Source organism: Homo sapiens, chromosome 17 (assembly GCF_000001405.40).
Source record: "Homo sapiens chromosome 17, GRCh38.p14 Primary Assembly".
NCBI lineage: Eukaryota > Metazoa > Chordata > Mammalia > Primates > Hominidae > Homo > Homo sapiens.
Window position 1 is genome coordinate 43,472,282 of NC_000017.11, and position 23,282 is coordinate 43,495,563.

Here is a 23,282-nt window from a genome sequence, read left to right on the forward strand (position 1 = left end):
TTTTTAATTTAATTTTTTTTTTTTTTTTTGAGATGGAGTCTCGCTCTGTCGCGCAGGCTGGAGTGCAGTGACGCCATCTCGGTTCACTGCAACCTCCTCCTCCCGGATTCAAGTGATTCTCCTGCCTCAGCCTCCAGAGTAGCTGGGATTACAGGGACCCACCACCACACCTGGCTAATTTTTGTATTTTTAGTAAAGACGGGGTTTCACCATGTTGGCCAGATTGGTCTTGAACTCCTGATCTCAGGTGGTCCGCCCACCTCAGCCTTCCAAAGTGCTGAGATTACAGGCATGAGCCACCGCACCCAGCCAACTTTGGTTTTAAATGTACGTCCTAGGTTTTAAGATTCTAGTTGGACATTCAGCTGGAGAGTCCAGAAGGTAGCTGAAATGTGGGATTGGATCTTGGGAGTGTTTCGGTGGACATATAGATCTGAGAGCTGCTGAAAGTGAAAGTTGAACCTGATTGGGTCTACTTACTAGGATGTAGGTTCAGGTAATGCAGTCATGATACCCTATTAATGGTAGGCTTAAACCAGACAGAGGGTTTTTTTTTCTCTCTCTCTTTTTTTTTCTTCTTTTTTTTTTTTTTTGAGACGAAGTCTCACTCTGTCGCCCAGGCTGGAGTGCAGTGGCGCGATCTCTGCTCACTGCAACCTCTGCCTCCTGGGTTCAAGCAATTCTCTGCCTCAGCCTCCCGAGTAGCTGGGATTACAGGTGCTCACCACCACATCTGGCTAATTTTTGTGTTTTTAGTAGAGACGGGGTTTCACCATCTTGGCCAGGATGGTCTTGAACTCCTGACCTCGTGATCCACCCGCCTTGGGCTCCCAACGTGCTGGGATTACAGGTATGAGCCACCGCGCCTGGCCTTTTTTTTCTTTTTCACATAATTCAAGAGTAAGCAGTCTAGGGTTGGTGTGGTGGCTCTGGGACGTCAGCGACTCAGGTTTCTCCTATCTTTTTGCTCCACCAAGCCCAGGGTCATGCCTTTGCTCACATTGTCCAAGATGGCTTAACACTACTGTAACTGTACTTCCAGGCAGTGGGAAGGAGAAAACGAGTTAAAAGTATGACCTGGATGTACTGTAGGACTAGAACCCTGGTCTTTAGCTAAACTCATGCTAGACCCACAATAAAGATTACATTTCCAGTCTCCCGTACAGATAAGTGGCCAATCAGAGGTGAGCCAAATACACATGAGCAACTTCTAGATCCATTCTACAAACATCTTTTGAATATCACTATGTCCTTCCATACTGAGTCACAGAGAACAGTGCTGTGAAAGCCAAAGGAAAGGAGAGCGCTTGCTTCAGCAGCACATTTACTAAAATTGGAACCATACAGGAAGATTAGCATGTCCCCTGTGCAAGGATGATGTGCAAATTCGTGAAATGTTCCATATTTTTTTAAAAAGTCCAGGCACAGTGGCTCATGCCTGTGCTCCCAGCACTTTGGGAGGCTGAGGTTCAAGACCAGCCTGGGCAACATAGCAAGACCTCATCTCTATAAAAAAATTTTTTTAATAACGAGAGGCTTCTGAAAGGGGTTTCACAGTGTTACAGACAGATCAAGGAGGAGGAGAACTGAAGACACGAGGGCAGTGCTTCTCAACCAGGGCCTATTTTGCCACTTCCAGGGGACATCTGGCCATGTCTGGAGACATTTTTGGTTTGTGATGACTGTGAAAGGAAATGTGTGTGCTTCTATCATCTAGAAATTAGAGGACACAGGTGCTGCTAAACACTCTGCAATGCATAGGAAAACCCCCAACAACAAAGAATAATCCTGGCCCAAAATAGCAATTGTGCTGAGGTTGAAAAACCCTGCACTAGGAGATTAGGACAGGCTGGGCCTGATGGCTCACGCCTGTAATCCCAGTATTTTGGGAGGCTGAGGCCGGCAGATCACTTCAGGTCCGGAGATCGAGACCAGCCTGGCCAACATGGTGAAAACCCGTCTCTACTAAAAACACAAAAATTAGCCGGGCGTGGTGGCATGTACCTGTAATCCCAGCTACTAGGGAGGCTGAGGCAGGAGAATCACTTGAACTCGTGAGGCAGAGGTTACAGTGAGCCAAGATCACACCACTGCACTCCAGCCTGGGCAAAAGAGCTAGACTCTGTCAAAAAAAAAAAAAAAAAAGTCCTGAAGCCCAGGTCACACCCAGGCCAATTAATTCAGACTATCTCAGGGTGGGACTCAGGCACCAGGATTTTAAAAAAATACCAAGTGATTCCAATGCACAGCAAAGTTTGAGAACTATGGGATCAGGAGGTAACTGGTAAACTCTCTGAGACAGAAGTTTTGACAATTACTGGCGTACAGAGGGTTCTTGACAACTATCTGTTGAGTGAGCGAATACATAAATGAATAACACCACTAGGATAGAAGCAAATGGTCAGTGGTTGAGGAAATAAGTTGGAAGTGGAGGTTGGGGGAGAGCTTTAAGTACAGATTACTCTTCCCTAAACTCTGGTTGTATCAGGAAAAAGAGAAGGGGTAGCACATTGAGGGAGAAGCAGATACGGAAAAGATTTTCTGTATTTTTATTTTATTTTATTTTATTATGAGACAGAGTCTCACTCTGTCACCCAGGCTGGAGTGCAGTGGCACAATCACAGCTCACTGCAGCCTCACCCTCCCGGGCTCAGATGATCCTCCCACCTCAGACTCCTGAGTAGCTAGGACTACAGGTGCCCACCACCACACCCAGCTAATTTTCGTATTTCTTATAGAGATGGGATTTCACCATGTTGCCTTGGCTGGTCTGGAACTCCTGTACTCAAGCGATTCACCTGCTTCAGCCTCCCAAAGTGCTAGGATTACATGCGTGAGCCACTGTGCCCAGCTGGGAAAAGATTTTCTATTTTTAGGTTGATGCAGAATTGAGCATGTTTGTGGGAAGAGGGTAAGAAGTAAGGAGAGAGAAAAAGGGTAAGAACATGAGGGATGAGAGGAGTCATCAGTGGAGGGGGATGAGATGAGGCATGTGCTTTCTGCAGGGGAAGAGATGTTCCTAGAGACAGAAGGTAAAGATATGGACTAATTCTAAGATAAAGGTGATGGCAGGGGTGGGGGTGGGGTCTTGAATGACCTCCATCTTCCCTGTAAGTAGAAAATGAGGTCTTATAATAAGTGTGGCAGGGGTGGATTTTGGGCTTAAGGGAGTTGAGAAGTCTTAGGCAACACTGTATAGAAAGCCACCGTCAAAAAGAGCCCAGGCCAGGCGCCGTGGCTCATGCCTGTAATCCCAGCATTTTGGGAGGCCGAGGCGGCTGTATCACCTGTGGTCAGAAGTTCAAAACCAGCCTGGCCAGCATGGTGAAACCCCCTCTCTACCAAAAATACAAAAAATTAGCCAGGCATGGTGGCGGGCGCCTGTAATACTAGGTACTCGGGAGGCTGAGGCAGGAGAATCACTTGAACCTGGGAGGCGGAGGTTGCAGTGAGCCAGTTGCAGCGAGCTGAGATCACACCATTGCACTCCAGCCTGGGCAGCAAGAGGGAAACTCCATCTAAAAAAAAAAAAAAGCCCAAATGAAGCCCAGGTGAGGTTTGGAATTGTGAATCTATACTGGGTCAAACCAGCGTGACCTTGGGACTTTCTCCAGCAATATCCTGCAGTGTGGGAGGGGAGAAACAGGGCAATAGGAGCCAGCTGGGGCTGGGAAAACACGGGCAGTAGAAAACCAGTGAAGGGAAGAAATCCTTGGCATTTATGAGCAAATTTCAAAATGGCTGAGCATGAGATCTAGGCCAGGAGGAAATATGAGTGAAATGAAAAGAGTGCTGATAATTGGAGAGAAAAGTGTAGATGAATGACTTAGAGACAACATGAAATGTTCAGTGGTAGAGAAAAAGCAGAATATTTCCAGTTCTAGGTGCTTCAGGAGCCACAGCTTAAGGTGCAGACATGGCCAAGTCCAAGAACCACAGCACAAACAACCAGTCCCGAAAAAGGCACAGAAATGGTATCAAGAAACCCCGATCACGAAGATATGAATCTCTTAAGGGGATGGACCCCAAGTTCCCGAGGAACATGTGCTTTGCCAAGAAGCAAAACAAGAAGGTCCTAAAGAAGATGCAGGCCAACAGTGACAAGGCCATGAGTGCACGTGCTGAGGTTATCAAGGCCCTCGTAAAGCCCAAGGAGGTTAAGCTCAAGATCCCAAAGGGTGTCAGCTGCAAGCTCGATCGACTTGCCTACATTGCCCACCCCAAGCTTGGGAAGCGGGCTCGTGCCCGCATTGCCAAGGGGCTCAGGCTGTGCTGGCCAAAGGCCAAGGCCAAGGATCAAACCAAGGCCCAGGCTGCAGCTCCAGCTTCAGTTCCAGCTCAGGCTCCCAAAGGTGCCCAGGCCCCTACAAAGGCTTCAGAGTAGGTATCTCTGTCTGCCAACGTGAGTACAGAAGGATTGGTGCGATACCCCCCGGGCTGCCATCTGCACGGGGCTGGGGTCCTCAAATAAACCTGAGGTAGGAAAAATAAAAAGAAAAGAAAAAGAATAAGTTGGGTCAGAGGGAATTTCACAGAATGAGATTTAGAAGTCAAGCCACTTTAAATAATGATAGAATCTAATGTGTGGGTTTGATTATATTACCTCTTAAACCCCTTTCAACTCTAAAACTCTATGAGAAATATGAATGAGTGAATACTGCACTTACATCCAAATTTCCAAGTGGCTGACAGTGTGACCCCAATCTATCCTTGTTACATATGAAGTCCCATCAAGTCCAAGTCCATGGGGATAGACTTGGACTATTTTAGGAATTTCTGCATGTGCTCAATGATAAGGATAATCAATCACTATTGGACCTATATGTCTTTCAAAAAAAAATTTTGTTTTTTTTGAGACAGGATCTCACTCTATCACCCAGGCTGGAGTGCAGTGGTGACATCATAGCTCACTGCGGCCTCAAACTCCTGGGCTCAACCAATTCTCCGGCCTCAGCCTCCTAAATAGCTGGGACTACAGACATGAGCTACATGCCCAGCTAATTTTTAAATTTTTTGTAGAGACGGGGGTTCTTACTATGTTGACCAAGCTGGTCTTGAACTCCTGGCCTCGGGGGATCCTCCTGCCTCAGCCTCCCAAAGTACTAAGAATGGCTGGGTGTGGTGGTTCATATCCGTAATCCCACCACCTTGGGAGGCCAAGGTGGTTGGATCCCTTAAGCCCAGGAGTTTGAGACCAGCCTGAGCAACACGGACTCCACCTCTACAAAAATTACAAAAATTAGCTGGGCATGATGGCACATGTCTGTAGTCCCAGCTACTCAGGAGTCTGAGGGAGGAGGATTGCTTGAGCCCAGGAGGTTGAGGTTGCAGTGAGCCATGGTGGTGCCACTGCACTCTAGCCTGGGACAGAGCGAGACTCTGTCTCTAAATAAATAAATAAATAAAACAAAGTGCTGGAATTACAGGCATGAGCCACCATGCCCAGCAAAACTTTTAATATAAATTCTACTGTCACCAGTATTTGATAGTAGACTGTGGAAGTTAGGTAAGATCAGAGTCTGTGTCACATAAAAGCAAATGTATGGCTAAGAAGGAAAAAAAAACCTTTGCTTCACACGTATCCATGTAATAGAGGTTTATCCTCACTTCCCCCTTTCCCCTCCCTCAGTCAATTTGCAATAATAATAATTTAAAAAAGGTAAAGTGGTGATGTCGTGGAACAAATTACTTTGCTTGAAAGACACAACTGCAGGTTGGTGTTTACGGGAGGACTCAGACTTGGCATGGTATTGTGAGGCAAAGAGGACGCTTGTTAGGAACTTGTGATCATTATTGAACCAGGCAGGGGAACCTGGGCCCCTGAACTCTGTCTCTTTATACTGCATTTTGAAAGCAGCACTTGGCTCTCTAATTGCCCCATATGCTGGTTTTATTCGGTGGCTCAGCTGGGTGGAGTGAACTCTGGGAAGAGATGCATTCATTTTTAGTTACCTCACCAGATTGCTAATTTTCACTCTGGAGGCATAAATCACCATAATTACTGTAATCCCAAGACGAAGGGACTTGCTATTCTGGCACAAGGGCAGCAGCTATTTGTACCGCCAAAGCTGTTCTACCTGAGAGCTGGGGAAAGAGTTGCATATGGCTGGTTCTGCCAGGACACTCTTAGATTTGGGGTGGAGGGTGTGCTCGGAGCCCATTATCCTTTACTTGGGAGAAATGGAGATCCTGGAGGAGCAGTTTCTTCTGTGTTAGTGGCAAGCCTGTGGCTTAAGACAGAGCTTTGGCCCTCGGCTCACTGCACAGCCCACACTGCCCAGCTGTTGACATGTTTGACTTGCAAACAGAACATCAACAGAACTTCAGAACTTCAGTTCCTCTTCTCTCATCTTTTCCCATCAACTCATTCCTTGGTTTGTCTTGGTTTTTGTTTTTGCATTTCTCCTGAGGAAATCCTTATTAATTTCTGAAGAAATTACCTCAAATAGAAACCAGATACTACAAAAATCCCTAGTACCCTGGAGCAGAGGCTAAATATCATTAGGGAGGGGGAAAACAGAAAAAGCCCAGTGTAACTTGTCACTTTGTCATTCATACTTATAATATGGATTAAAATTGTTTTCTTGTTCTTTATTATTTTTAATAGAGATGGAGCCTTGCTTTATTGTCGAGGCTGGTCTCCAACTCCTGGCCCCAAGCAATCCTCCCACTTTGGCCTCCCAAAGTGCTGGGATTGCAGGTGTGAGCCACCATGCCTGGCCATTTTTTTTTTTTTTTTTTTTGAGACAGAGTCTCATTCTGTCGCCCAGGCTGGAGTGCAATGGCACGATCTCGGCTCACTGCAAACTCCACCTCTCAGGTTCCAGCGATTCTCCTACCTCAGCCTCCCGAGTAGCTGGGATTCCAGGCGCCCACCATCATGCCTGGCTAATTTTGGTATTTTTAAAGTAGAGACTTGGTTTCACCATGTTGGCCAGGTTGGTCTCGAACTCCTGACCTCAGGTGATCTGCCTGCCCTGGCCTCCTAAAGTGCTGGGATTATAGGGGTGAGCCACCGTGCCCAGCCCAGTGTTTTTCTTTTTAAATAAAATCAACCTAAACTAAGTCTAAAAAATACCAACTAGATCCTGAATCAAGGTCGCTTAAAAGATGAGTAACTGGCGCAGTGGCTCATGGCTGTAATCCCAGCACTTTGGGAGTCTGAGGCGGGCAGATCACGAGGTCAGGAGATCGAGACCATCCTGGCTAACACGGGAAACCCCGTCTCTACTAAAAATACAAAAAGTTAGCTGGGCGTGGTGGCAGGCGCCTGTAGTCCCAGCTACTCAGGAGGCTGAGGCAGGAGAATGGTGTGAACCCGGGATGCAGAGCTTGCAGTGAGCCGAGATTGTGCCACTGCACTCTAGCCTGGGCAACAGAGCAAGACACCATCTCAAAAAAAAAAAAAAAAAAAAAAAAAAAAAAGAAAAGAAAAAAGAAAAAAAGAAAAAAGATGAAAAACTGATAAATAAATATGAAAAAATTCCTTGCCATTTCCACAGAAGGTGGAGAGGCCGAGATGGGGGAATACCATTTTCTTGACAAGTTCATATCATAATGGTGTCTGGGTGCCTGGCTTTGTGTTTGTTTTTGCCTGACATTTTGAAGAGTCTTAAAATGCAAGAGAAATGGGAAACTTGACTATACCAAAAAAAAAATCTGCTTAGGAAGAACATTTTTTTTTTTTTTTTTTTGCCTAATACTATAAAGCCTTGGAGAATTTAGAATCTAAAGCATCTGTTATTGCTGATGGCAGGTTGATGGCCTAAAAAGAGAGGGAACTGTAGGTCAGGAATGTTTTGCGCAAAAATGAGGCTGCGCTTGGGTATTAGAAAATAAGGCAAACAAATAACAGATTGCAACAGGATAAACTGCCCTGTGAAGTAGACTTGCCCTCCAACCCCAATCTGCCTGCCCTCAGATGACGGTAAACAGACCAGCTTTTTTTTTTTTTTTTCTGTCTTCCAATCACCTGCCCTCATGTTTAGGCAGCAGAGATCTAAGTTATAAACACAGCTCTGCCAGGAGACCCCTTGGCTGAGAATGGCATTCAGAGTATTCTAGTTCTTCCTTGATGTTTTTCCACTTTCAGACCTCCTATCCTTTTTAGAACCTGCCACAGTGCCTGGTCACAAGGTTGAAGTTTAATACAAATTTAATAAGTTGGTCCAAATTTGGAGATGAATTCTGGGGAAAAGTCAAACAGTGAAAAATAAGGAATTTTACTTTCTCTGGGGGCTCCCAGGCTCTCTGGTTGGGTCAGGGCCCAAGTGGAGCAGGGAAGAAGGGGCCACTCTTTCTGAAGTCTCCCTGCATGAATGACAGTAACAGTTGAGTGGTAGTCATATGCTTAGAAGCAAACCATTCTGATTTTGCCTCCTAGAGCAGAGATGTCTCCCCTAAGATCCATTTTACCCCAGCAGAAAAGGCCAGGGTTGTCTGGGTTGTGGCAACACTGTTTTGACAGAAAGCCCTATGATTTTTCTCACAAACTTCCCTAAGGATGCTGTCTTTCAGCTACACGTACTTAGATAATTTCTTCTCCCTTACCAACTCAACCTGATGTTGCTAAGAGGTTCAGTACTTTCTCTCTGCTTTCTACCTCATCCCAACCCCCAAGTTCTTTCCCAAATTCCAGCAGCTGGGACCAGTCTCTGGGACAGAGCAGAAATAACATGGAAATCGGGGGTAGGGTTAAACACATCTATAAGTCTAGGAACAGGCAGAAAAGTAACATCCCTGTTACTACAAGTTTGGTATCAGGAAATAATTTCTTATCCATCATGAGTGGTGATATGGGTAGTATGAGCATAAGTTATATGTAGAGGTAAATTATTTACTGGGCTATTAAAGGGCCACATGGAGGCTGTCCAAGGAAAGTCATACAATAATAATGGAAATTTATTATTATTATTTTATTTTTTGAAACAGAGTATCACTGTCGCCCAGGCTAGAGTACATTGGCGTGATCTTGGCTCACTGCAACCTCCGCCTCCTGGGTTCAAGCAATTCTCCTGACTCAGCCTCCCGAATAGCTGGGACTACAAGTGTATGCCACCACGCCCGACTAATTTTTGTAGTTTTAGTAGAGTCGGGGTTTCACCATGTTGGCCGGGCTGGTCTCGAACTCCTGACCTCAGGCGATCTGCCTGCTTCAGCCTCCCAAAGTGCTGGGATTACAGGTGTGAGCCACTGCACCCGACCTAATAATGAAAATTAATTATATCTGATATTATGTTGAAAAATATTCTATCCAGAGGACAGTTCGGAAACATTTACTTTTGCACTGCGTTCGATTCACGGTCTCTTATGGGGAGGAAGAGTAGGAGGATTCCATGTGCATCTGTGTTTGGGCTGTCAAGTTATCTGTATCTACATAACTATTTGTTTTCCTTTGGCTTCAAAGAAATTTTTGGTGTTGCAAGAAATATGTATATTGCAGAAAAACTGTCACTTCTTAAAATGTGCAGTTAATGGCATATCTAAATAAAATGTAATGTTTTGCTGTTAATATTTACTATTGATATATATGTTCAATAATTCCCAAACAATTCTAACATTTAGTATTTATTAATTCTAGTATTTATTGCTACTACTGCTGCTACATGTTATGGTTCCATAGCCCCTATTCTGACAGAGCTTTGAAAACAAAACAAACTCCCTATCTGTTCCTCCTTCCGGTTAAATATTGGAGGAAAGCAGAATAGTAATATTAATTTTTAAAGAGAAAGAAGCACAGAGAATGAACATCAGATAGAATAAGCCCTTGAAATCGTAACTCCAAGCTGGCAAATTGAGCACATTGGATCAAGTGCAGAGTTTTCCATTCTATTCATGGGGAGAAAGAGGAAGCGAAATGGGGAGGGGTAGGAAGAACTCAGAGGGTTTAGTAGTGATTCCTTAGGAACCTGGAAACCTGGAGCTTCTGGAGACAGTGAGAACAATGGCTGGGTTTTTCTCTGCCTGTCATTTTTCAGTCCATGATGAGATGTTGAAGAAACAGAGTCCAAAGGTACACCAGTGTAAAAATGTTGCCAAAGTGAAAAGTGGGAGACTGATTTCCTCCTTCCGATTGATTGGAGAGCCATTCACTTTAGGGTGCTTCTGTTTCCTTACTCATCACACAGAGCACTGGAGTGTGGGAAAAATCCCCATCCCACATTAAGGTTGCCACAAAGGTAAAAAAGACCTGAAGCAGAAGTTGGGAGACCTGAGCTTATGACCTTGGACTTACAGCACAGCTGATATTTGGGGGAATAAGGTTTGTTGTTGTTTTTGTGTGTGTGTTTTGTTTGTTTGAGACGGAGTCTCACTCTGTCGCACAGGCTAGAGTGCAGTGGCGAGATCTCAGCTCACTGCAACATCCACCTCCCAGGTTCAAGCAATTCTCCCGCCTCAGCCTCCCTAGTAGCTGGGACTACAGGCACATACCATCACGCCCAGCTAATTTTTGTATTTTTAGTACAGACGAGGTTTCACCATGTTGGCCAGAGTGGTCTTGAACTCCTGACCTCAAGTGATCCGCCCGTCTCGGCCTCCCAAAGTGCTGGGATTACAGGGGTGAGCCACAGTGCCCAGCCCCTGGGGGAATAAGTTCTGAGAGGACACAGGAAAACTGGGGATTGAAAAGCAGGTTTTCACAAGAGTGGAGGCAGCTGGCTCTGTGGGTTCCCAGACTAAGGGGATCTGTGCTTGACAGACCAGAGGCCAGTTCTGTGACCATCATCTCAGCCTTGAATTTTTTTTTTTTTTTTTTTGAGACAAAGTCTCACTCTGTCGCCCATGCTGGAGTGTAGTGGTGTGAACTCAGGTCACTCCAACCTCTGCCTCCTGGGTTCAAGCGATTCTTGTGCCTCAGCCTCCCGAGTAGCTGGGACTACAGGCGCCCACCACCACCACGCCCGGCTAAGTTTTCTATTTTTAGTAGAGATGGAGTTTCGCCACGTTGGCCAGGCTGGTCTGGAACTCCTGACCTCAAGTGATCCACCAGCCTCGGCCTCCCAAAGTGCTGGCATTACAGGCGTGAGCCACTGCACCCGGCCTAGCCTTGTGATATTAACAGTAACTGTCATTTGCGGTGTGCCTACTCTGTGTCACACTCCTTGCAGTTATTCCATTTAGGGTAGAGCAACATTATTCTAGTTTACAGATGAGAAAACTAAGGCCCCAGAGATTGATTTGCCCAAGCAGCCAGCTGGCAGTGGAAGTGCCAGTTTCTTCGTGTGTAAAACAAGAGAAGGCAATCTACTGCCTACTGGCTTGTCAAGGGTCACTTGAGATCGGACGACAGGAACCACAAAGAAGTGAGGCCGGGAATTTGCGGATCCACAGTAAAGCAAGTTTGTCTTTTTCCAGACGTGCATTAAGATTCCTTTTTCAAGTGTTCTAAAGCGCAGGCGCAGGCTGTTTTGCGGTTGCCTCCCGGCGCCTCTTGTGCAGGCCGGGGTCGCCCTCTGCCGACCCAGGGCGGGAGCGCGCTGAGTGAACGTTTCCAGGCCTGAGGGCGGGCGGAGATTTTTCTCGCCTGTAGAGGGCGCAGATCGGCGTGCAGAGTAACCCACTCTAGTTGTCCCTTCCTTAAGCACTTCCTGTTTGATCTCTATGATCCATCCTGTTGGGACTTGATTCGTTCCTCAAATTTTCAATTTACCGTAAACAAAGGGGACGCGCGCTGACCCGGAAGTGAAAGCTGGAACCCGGCCGGAGTAGCTCTGAGCGCCGGCTGTGAGGAAGGAGGTTCTGGGCAAGCTATAGCCATGGCTGTGGCTGTAGCCATGGCGGGAGCCTTAATCGGGTCGGAGCCAGGCCCCGCGGAAGAACTTGCCAAACTCGAGTACCTGTCTTTGGTGTCAAAGGTTTGCACTGAGCTGGACAATCACTTGGGGATCAACGACAAGGACCTTGGTGAGCTCGGGGAGGTCCCTGGGACCTCAGTTTGGGATTGAGGGAAGCGGAAGGAGGAAGGAGGAAGGAGAAAGGTGGTTGATGGACCGAAAGTATGTTCGTGTGAATCTGTCTCTCTCTGTCGCAGACACCGGTGCCCAGGGTACACGCTGCCGTGGCCTCGGCTTGAGAGCCCTCGAGAAACTTTAGAAACTTTCCCAGAGCTGTCAGTGAAGCCCGGGGCGGTCATCTCTGCTTGATTGTTTTTTGTTTGTTTTTTCAGCCTCAATTAAACATGTTTAACAACAACAGCAGCAGATGCTGCGATGACGACGATGATGGCTGACGTTTATTGGGTGCTCACTATGTGCTAGATGCGATGCTCAGCTCTTTATTGACATTATTTTATTTGGTCTTCACGCCACTCTGTGACATAGTAGTTAGCGTCTGTGCTTTTAACTGTGTTCTTTGACCGTTCATCCTGTACTCTTTTTTGAGGCAGGGCCTCGCTCTGTTTCCCGGGCTGGAGTGCAGTGGCACGATCTCGGCTCACTGCAGCCTCCACCTCCTGGGCTCAAGCAGTCCTCCCACCTCAGCCTCCCGAGTAGCTGGGACTACAGGCGGGCGCCACCAAGCTCGACTCATTTTTAAATTTTTTGTAGAGACGGGGGTCTCACTGTATTGCCCAGGCTGGTCTCGAACTTCTGGGCTCAAGCAGTCCTCTTCCCTCGGCCTCCCAAAGTGTTGGGATTACAGGCGTGAGCCATTGCGTCCTGTACTATGTCTTAAACACCAGTCACTAGATGTTTTGGGGCAAACTACATCTGGGGAGCCGAAACTGAGGAATTAGAAAAGGCTAGGGTCCTAAAGCTAAAGCCATAGACAGATGGAGCCTTTATGAAGGTACAGAGGATGGATGGGATCAAGGGCAACCAATGGATGGATTGACCTTTGGTACGTACAGCAAGGCTTCTTCAGTTGTAACAGGAGCGAGGACAGAGAATACAGTTGCAGATTCAGATGAGTTTAGAGATTGGTGGTGGGAAGATGAGTGAGAGAGTTCCAGCCCACTCTTCAGTTTCCTAAATGAAGATAAAGTCATCAACCGGAGGGATGGAAGGGAAGGGGCAGGTGACAGGAGGGGTTAGGGAAGTTAGACGAGTGACCTTTGGTAAGATTCATAGTTTCTCTGAAGCTGTTTTTCTCATCTGTGAAGTGGGACGATGTCTTCACAGGGTCACCATATAGCATTTAGGAAGATGCCCTGCAGCCAGTATATTTTAGTTTACTTTTTTCTCTTGCCTCCCAGCCAAGATGTGTCTGTCCTATATAACTTTTCCCGCAGGATTCTTCTCTTTTAGTTGATAATGAGGTGATAATTTCGTCGGTTTTGCTATCTCGTTAATATGTTTCCTTTATTCAGCAAATATTGAGCTGGGGGCTAGGCATACCACAGAGAACAAGACAGATTTCTGCTTTCAGGGAGCTTACCTTTCTCTCTGTTTTCATTTTAACTCCTAATACCTTGGCCTTTTAGAAGAAACAAAAAAGTTATTGACATTAACCCCCAGTGTTTAATTGTTTTGATGTTAACTTCATTTGTGTACAAAAATAGAGCGAAGTATAAACTTCATAATCTTTTAGTTTATTTATAGCTAAAGATCTCAATTAATTTGCAGAAAACCCACAAATATGCTTTTTCTGTTACATACAGAATTATAAAACCAGTAACATTAAAAGTACTAACATTGGCTGGGTTTGGTGGCTCACGCCTGTAATCCCAGCACTTTGGAAGGCCAAGACAGGCCGATCCCCTGAGGTCAGGAGTTTGAGACCAGCCTGGCCAACATGGCGAAACGCCATTTCTACTAAAAAAAAAAAATACAAAAATTAGCTGGCCATGGTGACTGGTGCTATGCAGGAGGCTGAGGCAGGAGAATCGCTTGAACTCAGGAGACGGAGGTTTCAGTGAGCTGAAATCACATCACTGCACTCCAGCCTGGACGAAAAGAGCAAGACTTTATTTCAAAAAAAAAAAAAAAAAGTACTAATATTGGTTTAATGCAATAGACAGTGTCTTTTGTTGAAACTAAATTGGCAGAGTTGGGTTTAATAACAGAAAGGCATATATTTGCTTCTTTTATGTTTTGTTTGCTGACTTGATTCTTTTGCTTTTGACCCTGATGGATGACTTATTAATTTATGTATTTAATTTTTGGGAGAGTTGAGATAGTAGAGTTTCCGATGAAAACTGGAAAACCTGCTAGACAAATTCTAAAAGAACTGTAATACTGGATTATCATTTAAATTAGTGTTATTTTTACTGTTTTCACCAATGAATTTTTTTAAACTATAAATTAATTTTTTATAATGGATTCAGTTAATTTAACAATTCCCCTGTATAATTGTGAAAATTAAAAATACTGATTAATGGGACCAGGCGCAGTGGCTCACACATGTAATCCCAGCACTTTGGGAGGCCAAGGCGGGTGGATCACGAGGTCAGGAGTTCGAGACCAGCCTGACCAACATGGTGAAACCCTGTCTTACTAAAAATACAAAAATTAGCAGGGCGTGGTGGTGCACGCCTGTAATCCTAGCTACTCAGGAGGCTGAGGCAGGAGAATCACTTGAACCTGGGATGGGGAGGTTGCAGTGAGAGGATCGTGCCACTGCCCTCCAGCCTTAGTGACAGAGCAAGACTCCGTCTCAAAAAAAAAAAAAAAAAAGATTACTGATGGCTGGCAGTGAGAATGTGCTTCAGACTGCTTTGGGAGGGGCTCTTTTGAGCATGACATGCCTAGCACCATGGGACTTAGTTCTCCCTCCACATTTCTTGAAAGAATGTAGCCTCTGAAGTTAGATTGCCTGGGTTTTATTCCTAGCTCCCCCCAGTTATTATTGGGTAGGTCAGTGTCTCAAACCGTCAGCTTCCTCATTGTAAAACATGACAATAATAGCACCTACTTATGAGGGTTGTTTTGGGGATCATGAAGTAACCCATAAAAAGCACTTAGCATAGTGCCTGGCACGTAGTAATGTTCAAAAAGTATTAACCATTGACATTATCGTTACTAACTTATTATGCATAAGATGTGTTCGTGTAGCCTGATGGCATTTGGCTTTCACTTTATCAGAAAGATAAAGGCACATTCCAGGATGGAAATTGTATGGTAGTACTACTTTATGAGTTAGTCATCTAGATCTTTCATGTTATTTATTCATTTACTTTTCTAGGATTAGCATTCAAATGAAAGCATTACAGTTTTTTTGTGGGTCTCATAGTATGAGGCTTATTATCTCAGTCTACTCCCGAGTAGCTAGGACTACAGATGCATACCACCACCCCCGGCTGATTTTTGTATTTTTTGTAGAGATGGTGTTTTGCCATGTTGCCCAGGCTGGTCTTTAACTCCTGGGCTCGAGCAATCTGCCCACCACAACCTCCCAAAGTGCTGGCATTACAGGCGTGAGCCACTGTCTGAAAGTAGCTTAATAAATAGCTCTAATATTAGAAGTTTCAAGAACTAGGCCGGGCACAGTGGCTCATGCCTGTAATCCCAGCACTTCGGGAGGCTGAGGCAGTAGGATTACCTGAGGTCAGGAGTTCAAGACCAGCCTGGCCAATGTGGCAAAACCCCGTCTCTACTAAAACTACAAAAATTAGCCAGGCGTGGTGGAGGGCACCTGTAATCCCAGCTACTTAGGAGGCTGAGACAAGAGAATTGCTTGAACCCGAGAGGCGGAGGTTGCAATGAGCCAAGATCGTACCACTGTACTCCAGCCTGAGAGACAGAGTGAGACTGTTAAAAAAAAATGAAAAAATAAAAAAAGTCCAGGTGCGGTGGCTCATGACTGTAATCCCAGAACTTTGGGAGGCCGAGGCAGGCAAATCACAAGGTCGTGGGTTCGAGACCAGCCTGGCCAATATGGTGAAATCCTGTCTGTACTAAAAATATAAAAATTAGCCGGTCATGGTGGCATGCGCCTGTAGCCCCAGCTACTTGGGAGGCTGAGGCAGAAGAATCGCTTAAACTCAGGGGGCAGAGGTGGCAGTGAGCCAAGATCCCGCCACTGCACTCCAGCCTGGGCGACAGAGCGAGACTCCGTCTCAAAAAAAAGAAAAAAAAAAGAAAAAAAGAAAGTTTCAAGAACTAGGCAGGTGTGCCGGGCACAGTGGCTTATGCCTGTAATCCCAGCACTTTGGGAAGCTGAGGCGGGTGGATCACAAGGTCAGGAGATCAAGACCATCCTGGCTAACATGGTGAAACCCTGTCTCTGCTAAAAATACAAAAAATTAGCCAGGCGTGGTGGTGGGCGCCTGTAGTCCCAGCTACTCGGGAGGCTGAGGCAGGAGAATGGCGTGAACCCGGGAGGTGGAGGTTGCAGTGAGCCGATATCGCACCGCTGCACTCCAGCCTGGGCGACAGAGCCAGACTCTGTCTTAAAAAAAAAAAAAAGAAGAACTAGGCAGGTTTGTGGAGAAAAATTTGGCAAAAAAGTCTTTCATCAATGTGGAGATTGCACCACCCAGCAGCTGCCTGGCCCTCATATACAGATTGGGTCTGTCCTTCTGTTGTGTGCCTCTGTGTGTCTACATGGGCTCATGCTTTTTATTGTCACCTTTACAGTCTAGTCTAGGTGGCAGCGTGCCCAGGTAGTGGTTTTGTGAGAAGAGGGTACCATGATGTGGGTCAAATAGGTCTTCCTAGTTTAAATGCACTCAAGGGCTACATTGAGCCATTTTGTAGTAATATCTTCCTTTCATTTGTATAAATTCTCTAGAATATGTGTGGATAATTTCAGCAGTCTAGATTTTCTCTCTTGTTTTCTTGTTTTGTTTTTTTTGTTTTTTTTTGAGACGGAGTCTCACTCTGTTGCCCAGGCTGGAGTGCAGTGGCGCAATGCCGGCTTACTGCAACCTCTGCCTCCCGGGTTCAAGTGATTCTCCTGCCTCAGTCTCCCAAGTAGCTGGGATTACAGGTGCCTGCCACCACACCCAGCTAATTTTTGTATTTTTAATAGAGACGGGGTTTCACTGTGTTAGCCAGGCTCATCTTGAACTCCTAACCTCAAGTGATCCGCCTGCCTTGGCCTCCCAGAGTGTTGGGATTACAGGCATGAGCCACCACACCTGGCCAGATTTTCTCTCTTTACCCTTACCAGATGGTGGTCTTTGTTTTTTATTACTGTTGGATAACCTAATTAGTTTTGTTTTCACCATACTTGAAACTGATTTCTTGTTCATGTCTCTTCTTTTCTGAATTCTGTTTCTTATTTGCAGCTGAATTTGTGATCAGTCTTGCTGAGAAAAATACCACCTTTGATACTTTTAAGGCTTCTCTCGTCAAAAATGGTGCAGAATTTACGGTATGTATATGTGGAGAAGATAATCTGTAGATATTAATGTTTTAATTTATGTTTGTTTGTTTGTTTTTTTTTTTGAGACAGAGTTTTGCTCTGTCGCCTGGGCTGGAGTGCAGTGGCGCCACCTCAGCTCACTGCAAGCTCCGCCTCCCGGGTTCACGCCATTCTCTTGCCTCAGTCTCCCAAGTAGCTGGGACTACAGGTGCCTGCCACCATGCCCGGCTAATTTTTTGTATTTTTAGTAGAGATGGGGTTTCACCGTGTTAGCCAGGATGGTCTCGATCTCCTGACCTCGTGATCCACCCGCCTCGGCCTTCCAAAGTGCTGGGATTACATAATTTATGTTTTAATGTCACTATTGATTTTAAATTTTGATAGGGTTTAATATAGGATTTTGATATAGGAAGGAGACAATTTTATACATATCAATTAAATAAGCCATTAAGTGTGTAATGTTTTCATGCCATTAAGTAGTGATGATTTAACCAGATTTTCTGTGATACCTCTAGGAAAACAGGGCAGGATTTTCATCATTAAGTCTTTGTAGGTATTTACATTCTTGTTCTGTGAGTCAGGAAGTTGGAAACAAGTTTTGGGGGTAGTTCTAAACCTTGGGAAATAAAATGGTTGCAGGGAGCCTAATAACTTTTCTCCCCAAAGAGTCCTAAATATCGGCTTTCTCTGAAGCTATTATACTAGGTTCATGCTACACCAGGTTGACACACTATGTTTCATGTATTCCAATTAGCTAAATTCAAGTGCGTAACCACCCTTCCCTACAGGACATTCTTTGCCTTTTAAGTGTATTTAAGCACTGATATGGGAGCTGACAATTTTCGTTCTATGTTTCTTTTCAAAGGATTCTCTTATTAGTAACTTGCTGCGTCTCATACAAACCATGCGGCCTCCAGCGAAGCCTTCCACTAGCAAAGGTAAGCAGAGCTTCCAGCTGAGCTTAGCTTCTAGAATGGTGTAGGTTTTGAACATCCTGTAAATTGCATTTGTTTTCCTCTCAGCAGTTGCTGAGCAAGTAAATGTTCCAGTAAGATTTTTCAAATGGGCTGGGCCTAGCGGCTCACTGCTGGAATCCCAGCACTTTGGGAGGCCAAGGTGGGAGTATCACTTGAGCCCAGGAGTTTTAGACCAGCCTGGGCAACATAGAGAGACCTCATCTCTACAAAAAAATAAAAAAATTAGCCAGGCATGATGGCGTGCCTCCGTAGTTCCAGCTACTTGGGAGGCTAAGGAAGGAGTGTTGCTTGAGTCCAAAAGGGTGAAGCTGCAGTGAGCCATAGTTGCACCAATGTACTTTAGCCTGAGTGACAGAGGTTTTTTTCCCCGTTTCAAGGGGAAAAAAAATTTCAAACGACTTAAGACAAAATAAAAAAGATAAGACATAACCCAATGAGTATTGCTACACTCCTCTTTCTGCTACATTTCGAGATAGTTTGTGATCAATGTATTTAGAAAATTAAATTACATTTATAGTAACAGGTATGATTAATATATAGCAAAATGCCATGTTCTGTTTCAGTTTGATACAAATCTATTGTTGAAGTTATTTTGTTAATCATTAATAATATTAAATATATATCTCTTTTTTTAACCCCTTCATGCTCTTTAATGAAACAAGATCCAGTTGTTAAACCTAAAACAGAAAAAGAAAAGCTGAAGGAACTCTTCCCAGTCCTTTGCCAACCGGACAACCCTTCTGTTCGGGTACTGATACCATTTTAAGAGTGTCTACTATAAATATATATTCTCAACCCCTTTTCTTTGTCTCATAGTAATTTTATTAATTTTAAGTTTGCCTTTGTTGTAACTTATTTTTAAGAATGAAAGTGTTTGATCACTCCCTGAGCATGTACTATGTATTGAATTTGTTAAGGGGTTCTGAGAATGATATTCAAGGGAAATGAGATTGGGAATTTGGGGAAGTAGTGATTAGGAATATGAAATAAGGTTCTGGAACAGATGCCTAAGGTGTGAAATTAGATTTTTTTTTTTTGCTCTGTTACTTGTTAAAGGTCTAATTTTTAAAGCATTTTGATTTTTAAATTTCATTTTAATAAATATTTATTGAGTACTTACTGTATGCCAAACACTGTTCTAAGTACCTGGATAACAGCAGTGAACAGAACAGACAAGAGTTTCAGCCTTTGGAGATTATATCCTAATTTTGGGGTAGGGAGCAGGAAATAAACATGTAAACATTCTGGTGGGGAGGAGATAGGCAATAAACAAACAAATAGGTATGTAACATAGCAGATAGCAATAAGGGCTATTTAAAAAAATAAAGCTGGAGTGGGGGTAGGGAGGAAGAGTGCAGAGGGAGAGTTGCTTTTTAAAATTTTTAACACCTGTTTTCTATTAATATAATCATCACTTGCATTCTTTCATGGCAGGGATGATTAATATCTAACTGCCTTTCATAGAATTCTATTAAGGACAGAGGGGATTTGTCAAATGTAGCAGTAATTCTCAAGAGCCTTTTTTCCATTTCTTCTGCATCTATCCTGAATCAAGTTTGAAATCTCTGCCCCTCTTCTATTTCCCTCACATAGTGATTAGTGATTTATAGATGTACCTGAGGTACATACAGATTCTTGAGTAGTTTTTTTTCCTAACTTTGCCGGCCTCTACCTCTGCAGACCATGTTGGATGAAGATGATGTGAAAGTTGCTGTGGATGTCCTGAAAGAACTGGAAGCTTTAATGCCCAGCGCAGCAGGCCAGGAGAAGCAAAGAGATGCTGAACACCGGTTTGTCCTTAGTGTCCTGTCCTTTGGAAGTTTAGGGTACTGTGACAGTTGAATATTATGGACCAGCCAAGCAAAATTTTGGGCAAGTTTACAGAATCTGGACTGGTCATATATCATATTGTTGGATCTGTTTTCATTGCTTCCTGCTAAGTGTATGTAGCAAATGCTAGGTTGTTCAGAATATAGAAGTCAGGGTTGAAAGAGGCTGAATATGTTTGTGGCTCAATTCTTTATTGGCTTATAGGGATGTCGTAGTTATTGAAACTCTAATTCAGTTCAAAACCTAGTGGGTACCTACCATGTGCATGGCACTGTACTGGGTGCTTGGGGATGCGAAGATGAAATCGGATTGGTTTCTTTTTTAAACAGGTGCTTATTGATTTGTTAGGGACAGGACAAAGAAGAAGAAGCGGAGTCGAAGCCGAGATCGAAACCGAGATCGAGACAGAGATAGGGAACGAAACCGAGATAGAGACCACAAGCGGAGACACCGATCCCGCTCTCGATCACGTTCCAGGACCCGGGAGAGGAATAAAGTGAAGTCTAGATATCGGTCCAGGAGCAGGAGTCAGAGTCCCCCCAAAGACCGGAAGGACCGGGACAAATATGGAGAGCGGAATCTGGATAGATGGCGGGATAAGCATGTGGACCGCCCTCCTCCAGAAGAGCCCACCATTGGTGACATTTATAATGGCAAAGTTACCAGCATCATGCAGTTTGGTTGCTTTGTGCAGCTGGAAGGACTAAGGTAATGACTGGTGCTCTTTTGTTCACACCAGTGATGGGCAGAATTTCTTTTATCACTGAGGATGTTCACATTCTAAAAAGTTACTTTGATTAATGACACTTTAGTCAAATCAGCCATACATGGTTCTTAGAAATTGACTCTTTTGAAATGTTACAGAGCCATTTATTCCTTTCTCTGTCTTCAGGAGATCTGTCCTTTGCTTGTTGGGACAGATAGAATTTGCTTCCCCACCCCATGTCTCCCCATGAGGAGAGTGTTAATACTATTTTATTGTTTGACCACCTTCATGGTACTTTTCTCTTGAGTTTAAGACCATTTTCTTTTGTTAGTTCCAGTAAGGGTAGAAATTGGTTGGGGGAAAAATATTTTTTGGCATGTTCCAGATGTGTCTGGCTCTCCCTCAGGAAGCGGTGGGAAGGCCTGGTGCACATCTCTGAGCTCCGGCGGGAGGGTCGTGTGGCCAATGTAGCTGATGTCGTGAGCAAAGGCCAGAGGGTCAAAGTCAAAGTGCTGTCCTTCACTGGGACCAAGACCAGCCTGAGCATGAAGGTAGGTGAGATGGTCAGCCTGTTCTTACATGTGATGGCCAAGGGAATGGAAGAGGACAGCAAGTGAGACAGCTCCCTTGTTTTTGTGCCTTAGGATGTGGATCAAGAGACTGGAGAAGATCTAAACCCAAATAGACGGCGAAATCTTGTCGGGGAGACCAATGAGGAGACCTCAATGCGGAATCCTGATAGACCCACTCACTTGTCCCTTGTCAGTGCTCCTGAAGTAGAGGACGACTCACTGGAACGCAAGCGCCTCACCCGAATCTCTGACCCAGAGAAGTGGGAGATCAAACAGGTTGGGGCCTTTAGTTTTCATGACCAGATAGTCATTCAGCATGTAGCATGGTGCTTAGGGGTGTGCCCTGGAGCACGATGGCCTGGGATAACTTTTGGCCACTGTATTAGTCTGTTTTCACACTCCTGATAAAGACGTACCTGAGACTGGGCAATTTACTAAAGAAAGAGGTTTATTGGACTTAGAATTCCACTTGGTTGGGGAGGCCTCACAATTATGGAGGAAGGTGAAAGGCATATCTCACATGGCAGTAGACAAGAGAGCTTGTGCAGGGAAATGCCCTTTTTAAAACCATCAGATCTCATGAGACTTACTCACTATCGTGACAACAGCGTGGGAAAGAGCTGCCTCCATGATTCAGTTACCGTCCACTGGGTCCCTCCCACACACGTGGAAATTCAAGATGAGATTTGGGTGGGGACACAGCCAAACCATATCAGCCACTTATTAGCCGTGTAATCCTTAGCTAAGCTACTCTACCTCATGCCTCAGTACCCTTTTCTATAAAACAGGACCAGTGTTGGTGGTGTGAGGATTAATTAAAGGTGAAAGTCGTTGGGCGTGATGGCTCACACGTGTAATCCCAGCACTTTGGGAAGCTGAGGCGGGCGGGTCACGAGCTCAGGAGTTCGAGACCAGCCTGACCGGTATGGTGAAACCCCATCTCCACTAAAAATACAAAAAATTAGCCGGGCGTCATGGTGCGCGCCTATAATCCCAGCTACTCACGACGCTGAGGCAGGAGAATCGCTTGAACCCGGGAGGCGGAGGTTACAGTGAGCTGAGATCATGCCACTGCACTCCAGCCTGGGCAACAGAACAAGACTCTGTCTCAAAAAAAAAAAAAAAAAAGTGAAACTCTTAGGTTAGTGTTTAGCATATGGTAATTGCTATGTAAGTCTTCATTCTTTTGTTTTCTTTCCTTTTTTTTTTTTTTTTAATTGAGACGGAGTCTCGCTCTGTCACCCAGGCTGGAGTACAGTGGTGCGATCTCAGCTCACTGCAACCTCTGCCTCCCGGGTTCAAGCGATTGTCGTGCCTCAGCCTCCCGAGTAGCTGGGATTACAGGCGCCCACCACCACGCCCGGCTAATTTTTTTGAATTTTTAGTAGAGACGGGGTTTCACCATGTTGGCCAGGCTAGTCTTGAACTCCTGGCCTCAGGTGATTCTCCCACCTCGGCCTCCCAAAGTGCTGGGATTACAGGCGTGAGCCACTGTGCCCAGCCTATTGTTTTCATCCTTCTTCACTAAATAACATAACCGTGGTGTGTCAAGCACCATGCAGGGCTAGGGCTATAAACGCGAATATATCATGGTTGCTATGCTTAAGGAACTCAAAGTCCAGCAGAGGAGACAGATCTAAACAAATAATTGTGAGGGGTTACATATTTTTTCCTTTATTTTTGAGGCAAGTTCTTACTTGCACTATTGCCCAGGCAAGAGTGCAGTGGCATGACCATGGCTCACTGCAGCCTCAACCTTTCAGGCTCAAGCCATCCTCTCATCTCAGCTTCCCAATTAGCTGTGACCTCAGGCACATGCCACCATGCCTGGCTAATTTTTTAATTTTTTGTAGAGACAGTCTTGCCGTGTTACCAGTGCTCATCTCAAACTCCTGGGCTCCAAGTGATTCTCTTGTCTCAGCCTCCCAAAGTGTTGAGATTACAGGCATGAGC

At 45.0% G+C, this 23,282-nt stretch overlaps 1 protein-coding gene, 1 non-coding gene and 2 pseudogenes across 13 annotated transcripts in view, besides 2 other annotated features; 3 read left to right on the plus strand and 1 right to left on the minus strand.

The window, feature by feature from the left end:
- On the plus strand, positions 1,304 to 1,409 carry RNU6-971P (RNA, U6 small nuclear 971, pseudogene; annotated as a pseudogene).
- RPL29P31 (ribosomal protein L29 pseudogene 31) lies at positions 3,873 to 4,484 on the plus strand (annotated as a pseudogene).
- Positions 11,387 to 12,229: an enhancer, noted in NCBI's record as "OCT4-NANOG-H3K27ac-H3K4me1 hESC enhancer chr17:41561036-41561878 (GRCh37/hg19 assembly coordinates)". NCBI's record gives its function as "activates a minimal SCP1, AML or CMV promoter by ChIP-STARR-seq in naive and primed H9 embryonic stem cells {active_cell/tissue: H9 hESC(naive and primed)}" and the evidence as "EXISTENCE:reporter gene assay evidence [ECO:0000049][PMID:30033119]".
- Positions 11,529 to 11,958: an enhancer, noted in NCBI's record as "active region_12243". NCBI's record gives its function as "activates an Ori minimal core promoter by ATAC-STARR-seq in GM12878 lymphoblastoid cells {active_cell/tissue: GM12878}" and the evidence as "EXISTENCE:reporter gene assay evidence [ECO:0000049][PMID:35858748]".
- Positions 11,694 to 23,282, plus strand: part of DHX8 (DEAH-box helicase 8) — a 60,825-nt gene continuing 49,236 nt past the window's right edge. For 7 of the 12 annotated variants that reach the window (NR_136228.3, NR_136227.2, NR_136226.2 and 4 more), the window contains exons 1-8: positions 11,694 to 11,904; positions 17,168 to 17,253; positions 18,110 to 18,182; positions 18,884 to 18,969; positions 19,902 to 20,011; positions 20,400 to 20,759; positions 21,164 to 21,308; positions 21,402 to 21,605. Coding sequence is in view for 8 of the 12 variants with exons in the window: in NM_001322219.2 (NP_001309148.1) it covers positions 11,757 to 11,904; positions 17,168 to 17,253; positions 18,110 to 18,182; positions 18,884 to 18,969; positions 19,902 to 20,011; positions 20,400 to 20,759; positions 21,164 to 21,308; positions 21,402 to 21,605 (1,212 nt within the window). In the remaining 4 variants the exon portion in view is untranslated. Of the gene's footprint in view, positions 11,905 to 17,167; positions 17,254 to 18,109; positions 18,183 to 18,883; positions 18,970 to 19,901; positions 20,094 to 20,380; positions 20,760 to 21,163; positions 21,309 to 21,401; positions 21,606 to 23,282 lie in introns of all 12 variants that reach the window. The other 5 variants (NM_001322218.3, NM_001322221.2, NR_136225.2 and 2 more) reach the window with 4 other exon arrangements.
- Positions 14,117 to 14,177, minus strand: LOC124904112 (U7 small nuclear RNA). Its single transcript, XR_007065986.1, has one exon. It is a non-coding gene; the product is annotated as a U7 small nuclear RNA (small nuclear RNA).